This window comes from Homo sapiens, chromosome 6, assembly GCF_000001405.40.
Source record: "Homo sapiens chromosome 6, GRCh38.p14 Primary Assembly".
NCBI classification, from domain to species: Eukaryota; Metazoa; Chordata; class Mammalia; order Primates; family Hominidae; genus Homo; species Homo sapiens.
Genome location: NC_000006.12, coordinates 34,971,932 through 34,991,451, shown reverse-complemented (window position 1 = coordinate 34,991,451; position 19,520 = coordinate 34,971,932). Strand labels below are relative to the sequence as shown.

General features: G+C 42.5%; 1 protein-coding gene across 10 annotated transcripts in view; it reads right to left on the bottom strand.

Moving 5' to 3' along the window:
* ANKS1A (ankyrin repeat and sterile alpha motif domain containing 1A) overlaps positions 1-19,520 on the bottom strand; it is a 208,736-nt gene that overhangs the window by 106,539 nt on the left and 82,677 nt on the right. For 6 of the 10 annotated variants that reach the window (XM_011514431.4, XM_011514432.4, XM_006715036.3 and 3 more), the window contains exons 4-10: positions 18,809-18,871; positions 9,466-9,762; positions 8,625-8,700; positions 8,238-8,339; positions 8,027-8,128; positions 6,174-6,370; positions 2,136-2,228 (exon numbers count right to left, since the gene is read on the bottom strand). In XM_011514431.4, coding sequence (XP_011512733.1) covers positions 2,136-2,228; positions 6,174-6,370; positions 8,027-8,128; positions 8,238-8,339; positions 8,625-8,700; positions 9,466-9,762; positions 18,809-18,871 — 930 coding nt within the window. The remainder of the gene's footprint in view (positions 1-2,135; positions 2,229-6,173; positions 6,371-8,026; positions 8,129-8,237; positions 8,340-8,624; positions 8,701-9,465; positions 9,763-18,808; positions 18,872-19,520) is intronic. The other 4 variants (XM_011514434.4, XM_011514435.4, XM_047418491.1 and 1 more) reach the window with 1 other exon arrangement.

Below are 19,520 nucleotides of genomic sequence, written 5' to 3'. Positions count from 1 at the left end.
AATGTCCAGTTGGGGTGTGGGAGCTTTCTGGGAAGAGATACTCCAGCAGCTGCAACTTCCATGAATATTTAGCATATCTGAGCACAGAGAAGACTACGGCCAGTCCTGATGCAGCTGGCAGCCCCTTCTGTGGGCAAAAACATCTACACAGCATGTGTATGTGTGTGAGTATATGTGTCTAATGTTTTTAAGCCAGTTTCATGATCAGGTCATTAATCTGATAAGCACTCCTAGAGCTAGGTATACTCTGGCTTCTCCTAAAGGCTTCTATGAGTCATCTGACAATGACCAGGCTTAGGAATAGGAATACAAATATTGGGGCAGATAGCTTGCCAAAGACAAAAACCTAAGTTTGATGAAGTCAGTGTCTCCTGAGATATGATAGAGTCTAGGGTATTAAAGCTTTAACAGTATAAGGAAAGACAGGGAAAGACAACAAAGTCCAAAAAATATACATAATAGTACACTTTGAAGAAGACCATTCAGACTACAAACTACAGCATATGAATAAAATCTGCCTGGATCATATGCAGGCCGTATCACCTCTGTATTCAGGTACCTATAATCACCAGTAAATTAGCAAATTCAGTGTTTCACCATCTTCCAAATACTGACTATGCTGTTCCAACTGATCCAGAATTCCAGGCTATTCAGAAGCAAGTTTTAGAAAATGTATCTCAAACTCTCCCATCTAGGAGAGTAATATGAAGATTTCCCCCTTCTCTCTCCCAGCCACCACTTCTTGACACTGTGTTATTGCCACATTGAATGCTTTAGAAAACCTTGGGAGAATAGAAAGTTCTGGGTATAATCCAGTGTTTCTTTAAGAGCCTTGCCCAAGCATTATGAATTTTAACTCAAGTGCTTGTTAAAGAGGGGCAGAAGGCATTTACAGAGAACCAGCCCCAACTGAATATTCTTATTATTAGGCTTCTCCTTGTTAAAAAAAAAAAAAAAAAAGGAGGGGGGTAATGAGACAAACTTCTATTTATATAAAAATATGGAAGGATTTACTGCGTACACTTGGATCTACTAGAAATGTGTTATTATCCAGAGGTGGTAATAACAGGCTGCAAATCTAGAAACCCTTAGATGAGACATTATAATAAGCATTTTGTAACTAAAGGAAAGAATTAAGGACAGAATTTGTACCTAGCATAGAAATCTTCCCCTATCTCCAACACTGACTTTTACGTTTTTAAAAGGGCTTCCTTGTATTTATACATTTTGTTAAACTAAAGCCATCCTTCTGGTTCCATGTGTTTATACTGAATAAAAGAACCTGCCATGGTCCGTGGCAATACTGTAAAAAATCAATAACTCGAACTTCTAGGGACAAAGTGATGAGAGTAATTAACTGTTTTATATTAGCTGATTTTTAAATTAGAGAATAGGGCATTGAATGAGCTACAAAATGACTAATAAAATTATGTAATATTTTCAATAAATATTCCATAGATATATTCTAATGGCAGGAAGTGTTAGCAGAGCATTTTGAAGATGAAAGATTAAGGAAAACACAATTTTTTCACACTTCTAAGTGATTGAGTTATTTGCCTCATGATGACATTTCCTTTTCAAAAGGGTAGACTATTCTTTTCAAATAAACTTCTTTGATCTTCCAGCCCTGGCCATCCCACATAACTCCTATGTCTTTTCTAATTGAGTCTTCATGGCTCAATTCATGTTTGTCCTGGTGTAGAGTCTTCATGTGAAACGAACAGGAAAAAATACAAAAACAGGAATAAGATGTTTGGGGCAGAAGCACTAAAGCTTGCTAATGAGGCACAGTCTAGGGAACAGTGATTAAAGGGAAGCTCTACATCTTGTATCAAAAGACAAGAGGCTTAAAAGCAAAAAGTGAGACTGTTCAGCTTATTGGAGCCAGGAAAAAATGTACATTTTACTTTCCGTGTGGTATGGCAGATCAATACTGGGCCTGTCTGCGAGAGCTATATTAAAATTCTTTGTGAGTTTGGAAGGTCTTATTCCAGATTACTAGTACACATAATACAAATTTATAATCCAAAGAGCTGATGAGAAGATGAGAAAGCAAAGTCTTTTAAAGCACACATCGATGCACTTTTCAACAAACTCAAATTTCAGCAATGGGGAATAAACCCACAACCCTCTACCTCAGAAGCTGTCAAGGGAAAATACTTCTTATCTATGTGGTCTTCTTCCTCTTCATCGGGCGGTGGCTTTGCTGGAGGTGGTGGACGTTCCCTCTGCAGAAGAGAAAAAAATAAATATTTTGCGATCTCTTTTTTAAGTATCTAATTTTTTGGTTTGCCCTCATCTTAGCCCTTAGAAATGAAAAAAATAATGTATGGAACTCCCCTGAGAGACTAAAGTCAAGGTTTCGTCTCTGAACAGATGGAGAACTCTGTGCATACATACACAATTCAATTAGCATGCTCTATGGTTTTTGATGTCTGTAGCAGAGATCATAAACACCTCTTTCATATCCTAGACCACAGTGAGAAATGCCAGTACTGAGAACACATAACTGCCTTGTTAGAAAATTTCCTTCATAATACTGATACATAAAACTTTACCTTAGGAAAATCAGTGGTTCACTTTTCAGTCTACTCTAGAAAGAAGAAACACTGGATCAAAAGAAATCAACCTGTGAAATTTGTTCTAACAAATCAAAGTTACTGAGGAAGTAATGAGGAAAGTAATCAAGGACAAAAATGTTAATTCCTGTTGAAATGTTAACGCTCTGATACTGGTCTACTCCCATTTATTAGCAAAAAGCTCAACCTGTTCTCTTATCCTTGGTTGCCTCCTTCAATAATAAGTATTATATGAAACTCTATTTCATCTAAACCCATTTGAAAAAAAAATTTTTTTGAGGCAGAGTCTCACTCTGTCGCCCAGGCTGAAGTGCAGTGGCGCGATCTCGGCTCACTGCAAGCTCCGCCTCCCAGGTTCATGCCATTCTCCTGCCTCAGCCTCCCGAGTAGCTGGGACTACAGGTGCCCGCCACCACGCCTGGCTAATTTTTTGTATTTTTAGTAGAGACAGGGTTTCACCATGTTACCCAGGATGGTCTGGATCTCCTGACCTTGTGATCCACCCGCCTTGGCCTCCCAAAGTGCTGGGATTACAGGCGTAAGCCACCGTGCCCAGCCCATCTAAACCCATTTTTAAAAGGAAAAGAAGCTTTTTAAGGGCCATATAGTGAATATTTTAGGCTTTGCAGTCAATTCTGCCATTATAATGCAAAAGTAGCCACAGATGATATGTAAATAAATGAGTGTGGCTATGCTCCAATAAAACTTTATTTACAAAAACAGACGCTTGTGGACTGTCGTTTGCCAACCCCTGCTCTAGAATAAGAAAGTCACTGAAAAGGTGACACAGGATAAGTTAGATCATGGGTAAACAATTTCAGGAAGACACAGGATGATCCTGATGAAGGAAAACTGAAAGCTGAAGAGATATTTGCCATTGTACCTGCAGGGCCTTTAGCACTGTTTATATTCCAAAGCCCTGGTCATGCTTGAGAATCAGTGTTCCGACTAAAGGCAGTGGGGGACCCAAAACAAGAGCTGTCCTGCAGGTTCATTCCCTGGCTTGCAGGTTTGTTCACTGTGTTGTTAAAACAGGAGTATTTCAGAAAGTCAAAGAACAGAACGCTGAGTTACGCGAGAGCTCAAGCAAAATCTGCATGGAAAGATGTTTCTCATGTTTTAGGAGCTACTCGCATTAGCATTTTGGCATCCATAATCTCTCTCTTAAAACAGGCTTCACTGCTCAGTATTCTATCTTGATAAGTCGGTCATTCCCATAGACCCTGGAACCAGATGGATGCCCAATGGCAACAACTTCAAAACAAGCCTGTATGTTCAAGCCAAACAAAGCTATTTATATCAGATGTCCCACTAAGTCCCACTTTCCCCACCCTTCTTTGCTCCAGAAGTGCAGGAACCTGGTTCCAGTGCCACCTTGTAAGGAAGGGAACAGCAAAAGGAGCAGGCCTGTATCCATCACCAGTTAACCAACCTTGGGACATCAAGTAACTGAGGGAAAAAAAAACAAAAAGGAAACACAACAACAAAAAGAACTCATCGTAGAAGCCTTCCTAAGGCCAAAAAAGCCTAGAAAGAACAATATGGAAGCTTTTTGTGTAAGAAACAATCACCAGGGACACTGGAAGGAAAGAGAAATACCTGTGTCTTTTTCTCTAAGGTGAAAACTTTGGAGCAGGGCTTAGAAGTACCACAGTGATTTACACATACCATCCATTGTGTTTACCAAGAGGTAAACAGGCCCTTTGCCATAGTTAATTACCAAGGGCCAGGAAGACAGCACAGCCACAACATACACAAGTAAAAATGGCAAAGCATCCACCCGTTTCTGCTTAGGACCACAGGAGGGAGAGAAGGAGGCAAAAAGGAGAGCAGGAGGGAACAAAGAGACCTGTGTAAATCAATCACAGGAAATCATTCTCAGCTTTCTTCAGTAACCCTGAGCAGCTTCTTGCAAAGACTGCAGCGCCCCCTAATGGGCATCACCTATAAGTACCAATTAAAACACCACCTTCCTCCAAACCTGGATTTGCTTAATTCCGTTGTGCCTAAAAGCAAAATAAGTGAAATAACTAGCTGTCTATAGAAGTGCTATACTGGTGGTGCTCAGCACATGCACTTGCTTTCACCGCTCACAAGGAGTTTTGTCACAGTCCTTGATAACACCCACTTTGGTGGACTACCACTAGACTGCGGGCCTTTCCAAGATCCATACTAAAATGGTGTTTCAGGGCATAGCAGGGCACAGCAAAGAGCCTAATGAAAAAGAACACTCTAAGAATCATAAGGTCATTCCCAGGGCACACCTGCAAGAAACAAGAGTTATCTGCAGCCAAAGGATCATCAAAATGGTCACAAGCCAGATTCAGACCAAAAGGGAAAGGCCAGCCCCTCCAACAGGAAGAAATAACACAGGCCTGAAAATTTGTCTCCAGATGGGGTTAGCACTAGGATCTCATTAGAGCAATGGTCAGTTTAGCTAATGGGCACTGCTCAAAACCTCAAATTGTTGTGCGTGGCAGTGGAGGAAGGAGGGTCAGTGGGACCAGTGATTCGGGCCTACACTCCCAACATAACCCTAGGGGAGAAGCCAGGGGTAAGTTATCTTGAGAACAATGTACAAGGCTAGAAGTAAAAGCAGGTACAGACTGTCTGACCTGCGATGGTACAATGTTTCAACCTTATCATCGTGGGAAAGCAATAAGCATTCAGTAGAAACTGTCCTTCCAGTACTCACAAAACCATTCTGTTTTTCACTTTCAGTGCAGTATTCAATAAATTACATAAGCTATTCAACACTTTATTATAAAACAGCCTTTATGTTAGATGATTTTGCCCAATTGTAGGCTCATGCAATATTCTGAGCACATTTAACCTAGGCTAGGCTAAGCTATGGTGTTTGGTAGGTTAGGTGTATTGCCTGCATTTTTGACTTATGAGATTTTCAACTTACAATGGCTTTATCGGGATATAATCCCACTGTAAGTCAAGGAGCATCTGTACTAGAGAAAGAAACAGAAAGATGAGAAAATGGACCTTGAGAAGGAAAAATTCAGAGTTGTTCTCATCCTCTTATCTCAATGGCTGGAGGCATTATAATTAGATAAAATAGGAATGCCACATACTAATAAATACAATGTTAAGCCCTGCTACAACCCTGTTGAATCCAGAACCTGCCCAAATCCAAATGGAGAATCCTTTCAGGGCAAGTGGATAGTAAGCATACACTCAGGACAGATAGGAACTCATTTCAGTGAGCTTTCACTGTATGCTTCTGCTTTTCAGAGAGAAAACAGACAATATACAGCAAAAATTCCAAAGACAGAAGCAACACTAAGGCTAAATAGAAATAAGATGTTTAATTTGCTCTAAGGCCAATGAAGTCACGTAAAGATGCAAGCTGCTTATACTGAAACTAGAAAAAATGAAACTCTAACCTCAGTGTGATCTGTAGAGTTTCAGTACACTCAGCAAGAGAGACCCAGCAGAGCCCCATGAAGAAGAGAATAAGTGGGCTCCAGGCCCCGGAAACATGAGCTGGCACCAGGGATCACACTTCCCTTCCCCGTGCCCCATCACCTCAGGGGCCAGCCAGCCAACACAGCCCCCAGGAGGTGTAAGCCCCGGGTCACATACAGGCCTCACTCCAGCAGGTTTCACTCCTGCTGCCTCAGCCTCCTTGTTCGTGGAGTCTTGGTCAGATGATCGCCCGCTGGCCATGCTGTCCAACGAATGGCAGGAGATGGCATTATACAGAGCTTCGTAGGGACCCTCTTCTTCAGCATTTGCATCAAAATCTATAATCAGTTCAGTCACTGCTTTCTCCACGTCACCTGAGAGGAGGATGGAGGGCAAGAGAGTCACTGAAGGGGAGCAGAATCTCAGGTTCCAACCACTGCAGCAACCCAAAGCCTCTTTAGTCACCCGCGCTCACAAACACTAACCCAGAGCAAGAAAATGATTACTTTGTTCCATGGACAAGAATACGTATAGTTTCAGCTGTTCTTTATACCCTGAGATCTAAACAGATTTTTCTTTAATTCAATATGAAAAACCATTGACATCTATAAGAGATACCTCCCAAGGCCTTTATAAAGTCCCAAAATACCTCAATACCATAATGACATAAACTTAACCCATAAGATATAGCAAGGTGTAACTGAAAAACTTAAGTTACCCTTTACATTCTTTAATAAGAGTCTCCATGTGCTCAAGCAAAATAGAGGACGGCAAAGGCTTTCTGAGCTGGAGGCCCATGCAGCTGTTAGCTTGGCCTGTTAGATAACTATCAGCCTCGGAGCACCTGCAATCCAAATGTGTGACTCTGCAAAGTTACCAACTATTAGAGCCCAGGCAACTCTGGGTCACCTGTAAATAATCAAAACCATAAATGTAAAATCCTTGAAGAGGTTAGTGAACTACTAATCCCATTACTAGCAGATTATGTGGTCAAGAAAAAAAGTGCATGTGGGAGGAAGACAAGGACTCCACAGTTCAGAGAGCTGGGCACCCTTCAGCCCGTATCTCCCTGCACTCCTCTGGGAAATCCCTTTCCCTTTTTCATTTTTAGCTTTGTTCTGTTTTTCTAGCCTTCTTTATTGTAATCTATATTTGGGGAAAGGTGTCAATCTTTATTCTATCTTTGTATTCATCATATCAAGGACCCAAAAGGCTGCTAAATGCATCTGAAAAGGTGGATCCTGACTACTGTTAGGCTAGACTCCCTAAGCTCCCATCCAGACCACATTTGTTGCTCATATGATATATTATCAAAATTTGCCATGTACCCCCCTACCAATCAGATGATACTCATTAAATATTGGCTGGGAACGGTGGCTCACGCCTGTAATCCCAGAACTTTGGGAAGCTGAGGCAGGCAAATCTCAAGGTCAGGAGTTCGAGGCCAGCCTGGCCAACATGGTGAAACCCTGTCTCTACTAAAAATACAAAAACAAATTAGCTGGGCATAGTGGGAGGTGCCTGTAATCCCACGTACTTGGGAGGCTGAGGCAGGAGAATCATTTGAACCCGGGAGGCAGAGGTTGCAGTGAGCCGAGATCACACCACTGCACTCCAGCCTGGGCAACAGAGTGAGACTCCATCTCAAAAAAAAAAAAAAAAAAATTTATTACTCGTCAACTGTGTACAAGGCACTAGATTGTGATTATGTGTTAGAAAAAGAAGGTTTCACTGAGATTTGAATTCATCTTGAGATGATCCTCTCTACTACACATCTCAGAATAGATCTCACAGAGCCAACTGGAAAAGTGGAGGCTAAAATAAAGTAGGAAAGAGGCCCACAGTCAAAAGCATAAACTATGTCCAATAAAACTTCACATAGTAGTTGGCAAAAAATGAACTGAATATAAACTAAGTACTCACAATCCCCCAAAATTATTATTTAAATTAAGATTTTTCCATTCTGCCCACGAATTTTCAACTCTTTTCAAGCTGAGCACCCCTTTACTCATAGGGGAGAGTTACCTTACCCTGAGACTTCTGTGATATGGAGTCCATACTGGAGATGAGAGGTGGCTGGGGTGGGGGGGTTTTATCTACTTCTTTTGTACTTCTTTTTCCAGTCATGTGATCTACATGGAAAGATCAAAAAATAAAAATAAAAAGTGCTGCACCAAATACAAATGCCTTGGTTCAATTCGTGTGTCCCCTGGTCACCCAGACAGGGAGAAAGGATGATACCTTCAATTAATGCTGCTATTTGCTGGCTCTTTTGAGAAGGCAGTTCCCGAACAGTGTCTAGGGCAGTCAGTCCATGGTTATCTTTTATGTTGACGTCAGTTCCTAGAAAGGCACACCAGGTGGACCAGGGGAGTGAGCATTTTCAAGCCAGCCTCCAAAAGGGTCAAATTTTAGGACATTTAAGGCTGTCAGCAGCATGGCCAACATTTTTCATCCAGAGCCATTTAATCCAGCTATTCAAGAACAGTTTACACACTTGTAATCAACCAGTGGAGATACACATACATTGAGTTCAAACACAGCCAGCAAAAATCCCCCTAGGGGACTAGGGAGAAACAATCCCAACCCTGGCACGCTGTGTAGACAAGAGCGCTGCCGACCTCTCACCTGCAGCCAGCAGGATTTGCACCACATCGGTCTTGCCAAACAAAGCAGCCTCATGCAAAGCACTGCCCATCTCCGTCTGGAAAGCAAACGAGAGCGCAGAGCGGGATGTCATCAGAACAGTTTGGTGCGGCTTCACGTGACAAAGGGGACACAGACAAGAAGGGACACAAAATAAAACAAACTACACAAAGCCCTCTGTCATTATCTTTCCAGCTTTTCTTGTGTGGATTCCAAAACCACGATCATGGCCCATACACCAAGGCCATTCTGTGCCACCAGCAGGCCACGTGTGAATAACTGAACAGTTACTCTTAGAGCCATCTACTGGTGAAATGCCTCAGAACTCCACCTTCCTGGGTGGAAGGAGTAATAAGAAGAAAAGTACAACAGAAACACCCTCACTTCAAATGTGGTTTGGTCAACACAACACCTAAGGAATTATTCATCTGAATGGGAAAGGCTAACAAAGAAAGGAAATGTGACATTTCTTGCTGGCAACGTCAAGCTGATGAGACTGTGGAGGCGCTAAATGGTGGCAGTGGGAACACATGGATAGGAAGATAATGAAACTTTTCTGGTTTTGAGAGCCAGTCCATAAGCACATCTTTTCAGGGTTTAATGACTACGGATTACCCCCTGAAAAGAAACAAAAAAATAATAGACTTGCTTGAGGAGTTCATTTGTTTCTTAGTGTCACATTAGAATGAGTCGGCAAATAAGCATTTGAAACATGATGTGAAACGTGCTAAATAAAGAGCACAGCCCAGCAGCATGGTCCTTGTGCCTTCTGCAAAATGACTGAGTCTCTTGAGATTGGAGGAGCCCCCACCCGCCCTGCTACCTGGTAGTTGCTGTCCATGCCAGCATCGAGGAGGACCTGGACCACGGCTTTGTGGCCATTCCTTGCTGCCAAGTGCAGAGGGGTGTGCTTCTTAGTGTTGCAGCTCAGGAGGTTGGGGTGTGCATTAAGGAGCATTTTCACCACCTCCAGTCGCCCGTACAGTGCTGCCAGGTCCAAAGGGGTCTCGAATTTGTTGTTGCGCATGGTGGGGTCCGTCAGCTCCTCTAAGAGCACCTTCACCACCTCTGTGTGGCCATACTGCGCTGCACAATGCAGGGCTGTCTCGTTGTCATTGTTCTAAAGGGTTAACAAGCAGATCACATCAGAAAGGTCACTGGCAGACAGGCACCTGACTGGGACAACCACTCGTAAAACCACTGAAGTTTAAATGAGAAAAATAGCAGCAACACTTGGGGGCTAATAAAAGTCGGAATCCAGACATACTCCCCCACAAACAAGCCTGACTGGTCTAATCAGCGACACCTTCCCCCAGTGACTGTGAGAGGGGAGAAGTCATCTCTTAAACACTGGCAATGCCCTGTGTGCCATGAAGGAAGGGTCTCCAGGTTGTAAGGAGAGTGAACAAGAAAATGTGGCAGGCATTTGGTGGAAGCCCTGGCAAGATGAATACCAATAATATCACTGCTATTATTTCAGTTTAAACTTCAAATGGTTTTACAATTTGTAGGCATTCAACCCTATGGTTCTGATTCTGGATTTGTCAACCATCCATTGCCTTACACATAAGCTTTTTAATAAAAGTTTTTCATCTGCACAGCTTCTTGCATGCAAATCAATCAGCCAACAGTGAAAAGTAACAGAGCAGACTAAAAATCGCTCAAGGTATCAGCCAAAAGCCATTTCCAGGTAAAGGGGGCACTCGGGCTCAGTCACAGAGAAATAAGGGACCCTGACACTGCACTGTGCCTACCCCAGGAGCCTGCACCAAGCAACGCATGCAGTATCTACTTCATTAAAATGGCAGCCAGCACGGGAAGATGTTTCTTATGTAAGAAAGAGGCAAACGCTGGCATGTTTTGTGTGAGAGGTGCAAAATATTCAAATGTAATATTGCTATCAATTCAAGCTCACAACCCACAGTCCTCTAATGCCAATTTTGTTTCAAACTAAAGACAGAATTTGGGATAAAATGGGAGAATTGTGTGCTTTATCAACCACCAGAGGCAAAATGTTAGTCATTCCAATTATGCTCTTTTACTACTGACAATGTCTAATTAGAGCAGAAATAAAGTAAGTCCCATGACCTCTCCTTTTTGAGAAGCACTGATGAAAATAATTCTCCCACAAGATTTTGAGATTCCTAAATTTATCCAGGAGGCTTCTGCTACTTTTGGGAAAGAAAGCTTAAGAGGGGGTTTGTCAGTTAAGTCAATATTGTGCACCTTTCAGTGGTCAAAAGGTCAAAATTAAATGTTTCTGCAATTGCTTTAATTCTATTAATAACACTAAAAGTAATGGATTAGGAATTACCCAAACATGCATATGCAATTCCATCTGCTTTTGATCTGGCATTTGACTGCATCATTTTTTCCAACTATACCAAGTATACCAGAAAGATCCACAGCTGCTGGGAACAACTCCCCAAAAGGTGAGAACGATGGCAAAGAAAAATTTTTAAATGAAATAAGGACAGAAAAAGTAGTAGCAGGACACATGCAAAGATAAATGCACACAAATAAACAGAGGATGCAGAGGAAGCTGCACTGAGCTCAAACACAACTCAAGGAGAGCAGCTGTCAGGAAAGTGCCAACAGCCTTCGCTGGCCAGAGGATACAGCCGGCCTGCCAGCCATGGCCTCCTATGATATGACTGGGCCCTGAGGGGCAAATTCCATGTAACCTGAAAGTCTGGAGGAAGGGGAAATGCTGGGCAGAAAGCAAGTCTTTGAGGTCCTCCCTGTGCCAAACAAACCTTTTAGGATACCCATTTGGAAGGCCCTATTAAGCTATGCCATGAGTTTCCTAAGCAAACTTAGAGCTGTCCCTTCAATTTCTCTCTTTTTTAACCCAACATTTCTCTGGTTGATTATCACTTTCTCCTGATGAACCAACACCTACATTAACAAAAACTCACAGGATCTTTCTGTGGAGTAATTCTGGGGCAGAGTAGTAACCCAAAGAAGTTTAAAAGGATTCTCCAGGTTGTACATCTCAAGATGAGTGTGATAGAAAGAGCCAAGAAAGTCAGCTTATTCTTATTAAAATTCCAATCCAGAAAAACTATTTACTCTGAAGCAAATACTACTGTCTCTTTTATATCCAAGTTGTCTCCCAACAACCAGAATAAATTGTCCTTGATTTTATAAAAAGTATGCCATTAGGGCTAAAGAACTGTAAAAGTCTAAACCATCCAGCAAAGAAAAAAAAAAACCAAAAAAACAAAAAAACTTTTCTCTATTTCTTCTTCGCCAGAATGAAAGCAGCTCTCACAAAGCTGCCCTGCTAAAGGCAAGGTCATAATCACTACTGGCAAATTTCCTGCCTCATGTTAAAAATGGTCTAACCACATCTCTGCAGAAAGTTACACTCATAGACACAGTATAGGGAGCATCTTACTTAGGTTTCAGTCATGCCAGACATGGTCTGGTAACTGTAATACCCAAGTTTATTATATCTGTGGTGACCACATCCATCACTGACACAAGCCATCACGATAAGCTCTTATTACTGTAGGCTTTTTGAGCCTGACAACTATCAGGGCAAGAACTATCAGTGATTCTCAAACTGGCTTCATTTTGGAATTACATGGGAGCTTAAAAATAACTAGTAGGGGCCGGGCACGGTGGCTCATGCCTGTAATCCTAGCACTTTGGAAGGCTGAGGCAGGCGGATCACGAGGTCATGAGATCGAGACCATCCTGGCTAACACAGTGAAACCCCGTCTCCACTAAAAATACAAAAAATTACCCGGGCGTGGTGGCGGGCACCTGTAGTACCAGCTACTCGGGAGGCTGAGGCAAGAGAATGGCGTGAACCCAGGAGGCGGAGGTTGCAGTGAGCCGAGATTGCGCCACTGCACTCCAGCCTGGGCGACAGAACAAGACTCCATCTCAAAAAAACAAACAAACAAAAAAACTAGTAGGAGGTCCAATCTCAGACTTGCCAAAGTAGCACCTCAGAGGGTAAGGTCTAGGAAACTCTTTTTTTTTTTTTTTTTTTTGAGACGGAGTTTCGCTCTTGTTGCCCAGGCTGGGGTGCAATGGCATGATCTCGGCTCACCGCAACCTCCGCCTCCCAGGTTCAAGCGATTCTCCTGCCTCAGCCTCCCTAGTAGCTGGGATTACAGATATGTGCCACCACGCCTAGCTAATTTTGTATTTTTAGTAGAGACGGGGTTTCTCTATGTTGGTCAGGCTGTTCTTGAATTCCCGACCTCAGGTGATCTGCCCGCCTCGGCCTCCCAAAGTGCCGGGATTACAGGCGTGAGCTACCGCGCCTCGCAGGCCTAGGAAACTATTATTAAGTGCTGGTTAATACACTCACAAGAAAAGAAAGGATTCTAAGGAGCAGCACAGACTCCTGATCATCTGGAATGTTTCCCTGTCACACCTTCCAAATCTCACTACAGGTGTTCACAATACCTCCAGAGTTTCCAAAATCCTATTACTACTAATCTGGACTGAGAAAATGGAGTGAGAGGAAATAGCCCAAATTTCCCCCAATGCTTTTGCACAAATTCTCCATTCCTACTCATCTTAAGACCCACTTCTGGCTGGGTGCGGTGGCTTATGCCTGTAATTCCAGCAGTGTGGGAAGCCGAAGTGGGCAGATCATGAGGTCAGGAGATAGAGACCCCCTGGACAACACAGTGAAACCCTGTCTCCACCAAAAATACAAAAATTAGCTGGGTGTGGTGGTGCTTGCCTGTAATCCCACCTACTCAGGATGCTGAGGCAGGAGAATCGCTTAAACCTGGGAGGCAGAGGTTGTAGTGAGCCAAGATTGCACCACTGCACTCCAGCCTGGGTGACAGAGTGAGACTCCATCTCAAAAAAAAAAAGGAAGAAAGAAACTTTTTCCCGACCTTTCTCCTCTTGGAACTATTTCAGGACTATCACCTCCTAGTGCTCAGATTACAGCCCAACTGCACACTTACCCCTTGTTGGCAGATACTGAAGTTAGGGACACCTGGCCTATAGCTATCTGCAGCAATGAAAGTACAGGCCCTAGAAAAACATACCATAATGGAAAGAAAGGAAAAACTAGGTCTGAGATTGAAAGGACACAGGAGAAGCATGAAAGCAAGTCCATCATGTGGAAGAAGAGTTAGACTTACTCTGTATTGTTCTGGAAAGCAGAACTCTGATCCAAAAAAAAATGGAAGGTTTAGGAAGATAGATGCCAATCAAACTCAACAAACCAAAACTCAATGGAATCCAAAAACAGGCTGCCAAGTAGTAATGAGTTCTGTTTGTTATTAGGGAAAACAAGCAAATAATTAAAATACAGGGTAGAGGGTCACCTTTCAAATGACAGAAAGATTCCTGCTCTATGTGGAAGGTTGGCCTAAATTGGTGGTTCTCAAACCAGCTTTTAGAATTACATGGGAACTAAAAAAAAAAAAAAAATGCTAAAATGCTAGTAGTAGGTTTACCCCAGATTTGTAGGCACCAACTTAAGCAATCAATCATAATCATCAAGAATGAGACAAACCAACGTCATGTGCCTTGTTGATGCAAAGCACTAAAAAGGACATACATAATACCACTTCCATGGCGCTCCTGCCAAAAATGTATACCCAGAATCTAATCATAAGGAAATATCAAACAAAGCTAAATTGAAAGACAGTATACAAAACAACTGCCCTGTGCTCTTAAAAACCATCCATGTCATGAAAGGCTAAGAAAGGCTGAGGAACTGTTCCATATTATTAATATGTATGATCCTGGACTGGATTCTCGATCATAAAAAAATTGCTCTAAAGGGCATTTTTGAGACAACTGGTAAAACTTGAACATGGATTCTATATTAGATAATGGTATTGTATCAATATTGAATTTTCCAAATGTAATAAATGTATTGTGGCTTTATAAGCGAATGTCCTTGTTCTTAGGAGATTTAGGTCAAAGAACTAACTAATACCAAAATGGAAGTGTTTAGGATTAAAGGGTCATAATGTCCATGACTTAATATCAAATATTTCATCAGTGACAACAATTATTGCATACACACACACACACACACACACGCACACACACAGAAAGAGAAAAAGCAAAGGTAGCAAAATGTTAACACTGTAGTATCAAGAAGAGTGTACCATAGTTCATGGCATTATTCTTAAAACTTTAAGTTACAAGTTTTTTTTTTTAATAAAAAGTTTTTTAGAAGCTTGCAGGTGATACTAATGCAACCAGAAAGGTTGATTATATTTGGAGGCAACTGGTCTAGATAAAATTCCAAGTCCCTTTCAGTTCTAAGACTGTGAAATCATTTTAAATGTACCAAAAAAATAGATCTGCCCTAATATTAATTTGATTGTTACTCATTTTATGACTCAGACTAAGGAAGAATTGTTAAGAGGGGGAAAATGCGCAATTTTCATGGTTCTGCCTTAGCTAAGGATAATTTACATTTGGCTGGTTTACACCGACTTGTTGAAAAAGGCCCCAAATGTCAAAAAAGAACATGAAAGCTCCTAAAAACTACTTCTGCTCCCAAAATAAGCCATCTGAGACTTCTTAATTTGTACAGGTGCCTGATAGAACTTAGCACTCAAAAGTACTTTAACAAAACAATTCCTAGACATAAGCCAGATCTATAAAAATCCACTGAATCAGGACAAAACCTAGGGGGATCAGATCAGTTTTTCTTTTCTTTTTTTTTTTTTTTGAGATGGAGTCTCCTCTGTCATCCAGGTTGGAGTGCAGTGGCGTAACCTTGGCTCACTGCAACTTCTGCCTCTCGGGTTCAAGTGATTCTCCTGCCTCAGCCTCCCGAGTACCTGGGATTACAGGCATGCACCAGCACGCCTAGCTAATTTTTGTATTTTTAGTAGTCACGGGGTTTCACCATGTTGGCTAGGCTGGTCTCGAACTCCTGACCTCAAGTAATCCGCCAGCCTCAGCCTCCCAAAGTGCTGGGATTACAGGTGTGAGTCACCATGCCTGGTCAAAGGAGGTTAGATTTGAATCAGCTCAAGAAGGGTTTGCATTCTCAGCACAACCCAAACAGCTTTACCTCTCTGTTTCTATTATTATTATTATTTTTTTTTTGAGACAGGGTCTCACTCTGTTGCCCAGGTGACAGTGATCACTGCTCACTGCAGCCTCAACCTCCTGGGCTCAAACTATCCTCCCACCTCAGCCTCCTGAGAATTTGGGATACAGGCATGTACCACTATCCACTATGCCTGGCTAATTTTTTATTTTTTCTAGAGATGGGATCGCATTATATTGCCCAGGCTGGTCCCAAATTCCTGGGCTCAAGCAATCTTCAGCCCCAGCCTCCCAAATTCTGGGATTACAAATGTGAGCCACTACACTGGCTAGCTTTCCTTTTTTTTGTTGTTTTTTTTTTTTGAGTCTCACTCTGTTGCCCAGGCTGGAGTGCAGTGGCACAATCTCAGCTCACTGCAACCTCTGCCTCCTGGGTTCAAGCGATTCTCCTGCCTCAGCCTCCCGAGTAGCTGGGATTATAGGCACATGCCACCACATCCAGCTAATTTTTGTATTTTTAGTGGAGATGGGGTTTTGCCATGTTGGCCAGGCTGGTCTCGAATCCCTGACCTCAGGTAATCCACCAGCCTCAGCCTCCCAAAGTGCTGGGATTATGCCTGTAATTCCAGCACCTGGCCTCAGCTTTACTCTTAATGTAGTTTGCATCAATTGGCCTTTCAGGGAAGAGGCAAAGGGAATTATTTCCAAAGAAAGAAGTATGTTCTTACTACATTTAAACTAATTTTATTTTATATGTGCAAAATTAAAGGATAGGAAAATGTACTTTCAAGAACCAAAGTCTTACCCTTTATCAAAGCTTTATAAGCTCACTAAATTAACCACTGTTGGGAAAACAATCACTTCAAGTTTCCTCCCCATAAAAGAAAACTCTGAATAGACTAACTGAATAATGTTTCATTAAGCGTCATCTACTAGTAACAAAAACAGATTCCAAAAATGCCTTTGCAGAAATACATTACATACACTTTAAAAAATTAGTATCTCAAATATTACTAGTTACCAGATATTTTTACTTTATATATATTATCTTATTTAAACTCCAAAACAATCCAGCAAGGTAGATTATAGTGCCGTATTTTACAGAAGAGGAAACTGAGGCTCAGAGAAATTAAGTAACTTGCTTAAGTCAACAAAACTAATAAGTCGCACCCCAGAACTTAAACTCTGGTCTGACATGAAAGCCTATGACTTATGAGTTTTTCACTCTATCACTCTACTTCCAAAACAAAAAACAAAAAAACTAAGATAAGAGTATCTTCCTATTCTGAAGACTAGAAAACAGAATTTAAAGAGCAGGCCAATCACTGCATTTCAGCCTGGGCAACAGAGGGAGACCCTTTTTAAAATGAAAGAAAGAAAGGAAAGGGGAAGGGAAGGGGAAGGGGAATGGAAGGGGAAGGGGAAGGGAAATGGAAGGGGAAGGGAAATGGAAGGGGAAGGGAAGAGGAAGGGGAAGGGAAGAGAAAGGGGAAGGGGAAGGGAAAGGGAAGGGGAAGGGAAGGGGAAGGGGAAGGGAAGGGGAAGCGAAGGGGAAGGGGAAGGGGAACGGGAACGGGAAGGAGAAGGGGAAGGGGAAGGGAAGGGGAAGGGGAAGGGAAGGGGAAGGGGGAAGGGGAAGAGGAAGGGAAGGGGAAGGGGAAGGGGAAGGGGAAGGGAAGAGGAAGGGGAAGGGGAAGGGAAGGGGAAGGGGAAGGGGAAGGGAAGGGGAATGGAAGGGGAATGGAAGGGGAAGGGAAGGGGAAGAGAAGGGGAAGGGGAAGGGAAGGGAAAGGGAAGAGGAAGGGGAAGGGGAAGCACAAGGGAAGGGGAAGGGGAAGGGGAAGGCAAGGGGAAGGGGAAGGGAAGGGGAAGGGGAAGGGAAGGGGAAGGGGAAGGGAAGGGGAAGGGGAAGGGAAGGGGAAGTGAAGGGGAAGGGGAAGGGAAGGGGAGGGCAAGGGGAAGGGGAAGGGAAGGGGAAGGAGGTAAGAAAGAGTAAGCCAAAACAAAGCTGATGTGCTCCACTACCTAAGGTCAAATTGCTTCTCTACCATTAAGACCCAACAGCTGAACAAAATCTCCCACAGGGCCTTCCTAGGTCCAGCCCATAGGGGGCTTCCTTTGCTAAATCACTATTTCTCAAAAGCATGAAATATCTGCCTTGTGTTTGGAAACATACAGAAGTACCTTATGTTTCTCTTCCCCAAGGCAGCTGTTTTCAGAACAAGTAAAAGGTAGCTAATGTGGATAATGTAGTGTCTTGAGCACACTCCAGACTGTTGCCAAAAAGCAAACTTCATCTGAATAAAATCTTTGACCAAAACCAGCGGGTGAGAGCACCAAGGAAAGAGGCTAACACCATCACCCAATGAACAAGCTCTGCTGCTCAGATGTGGTAAAGGCTGAGGGGCAGACAGGGCTGGCCTGTTCATCACCAGGCCCATCAGACTACTCTTTGTCCCAGCCTCACAGGGAGGGAGACTAAGGCTCCCTTGGTCCTGCAACATAGTTTCCTATTTCAGAACGCTTCCTGGGTCAAGAGTGATCAAGCAGAGAGAAGCTAATGGCTGGAGATATTGGGTCGTGGTTTTAAAGCATCAGGCAGAGATGCACAAACTCCAGGAGATGAGAGAAGAGTCATGCAACAGCTTTTAAAGGAATAAAACGGATCAACCATGTCCTTTCCTCCACATCTCCACCATTAGCTATTGAAACCTGAAAATCAGATTCCATTTCAAAAGACAGATAGAAAGTAGGTTAAAAATATTTTTTAATTCCAGGAGGTACAACTTAATCATTTTTTCTATGCTTATTTAAAAAGTAAGATAATTTGACATCTCTTAACTACATTTAAAAAATTTTAAGAATCAAAATTGTAAATTAAGCATGTAATATGGTCCTTTCTATTTCCCCATTCCTGCCATTTCAAATATTCCAGAAAAAACCACCCACCATTTCCCAAATTAGTATGGGTTTTAAAAATAAAGCCAAAACCCACTGCAGCTGCATTTTCCCATTCCCAGACAAGCCAAAAGCAGATGGACTGAAGCAGACAACAGTCAGCATGATGAGGAGGACCCTGAGTGGACAAGAGTAGAAGCGGAGAGGACCAAAGAGGAGGTACAGCTTGGAGAAATGATGCAGAGAATTCCTGGCAGCAAAGTACACACCTTGGCATTGATATAAGGGTCAAAGGGGCCGTACTTTTTGAGTTCTTTGATCTCAAGAGCATTCTACAAAAAGGAGAGGAAAAGAAAAAGTGATGACAAAATGGATGAAATATATCAAAGCAATACACAGCCCTGAGGGAACCCAACCCTAGAACAACTTGAATCTGCCCTCTGGATGCCTCAAAGGGAAGTTAATAAGAAAGACAACCTCCAGAGCACCTTACTCTTACCCCCCTTTAATCTAAGCATCCTACTGGAACCATATTAATGGTTTTAAAATGAATCAATATAGTACTTGTAACCACTAGCTAGATCCATTAAAGTCTTCAAGCTACTGCAGACATCTTGCCCAGCTTCTGCCCACCACCTGCCTACCAGATACTCAAAGCACTGGGCTGGGGTCCCACTTATCAACTGATACTCCAAGCAGGAGGCAGCTGTGAGCAGGTTAAGCTAGCACACTCAAGTAGCTCAAAAATCCAAGCAGCTGTGTTTCAAGGCAAACGTGAGCAAAGAGGATTAGAAATGGTTGCTGAAAATTTCTTAAATGAGAAGGACTTTAATGGATGACCAGTCTTTCCAACATTGAAGAATATTAGTTACAAGCAAACTTCATTATGCATTTCCTCCAGAGAAGAGAAATGACCACTTTAGCTAGAAGGAGTAAAATTGCACTTAGATTCTAAAGAAGTAATTCTAAACAGATACTTTT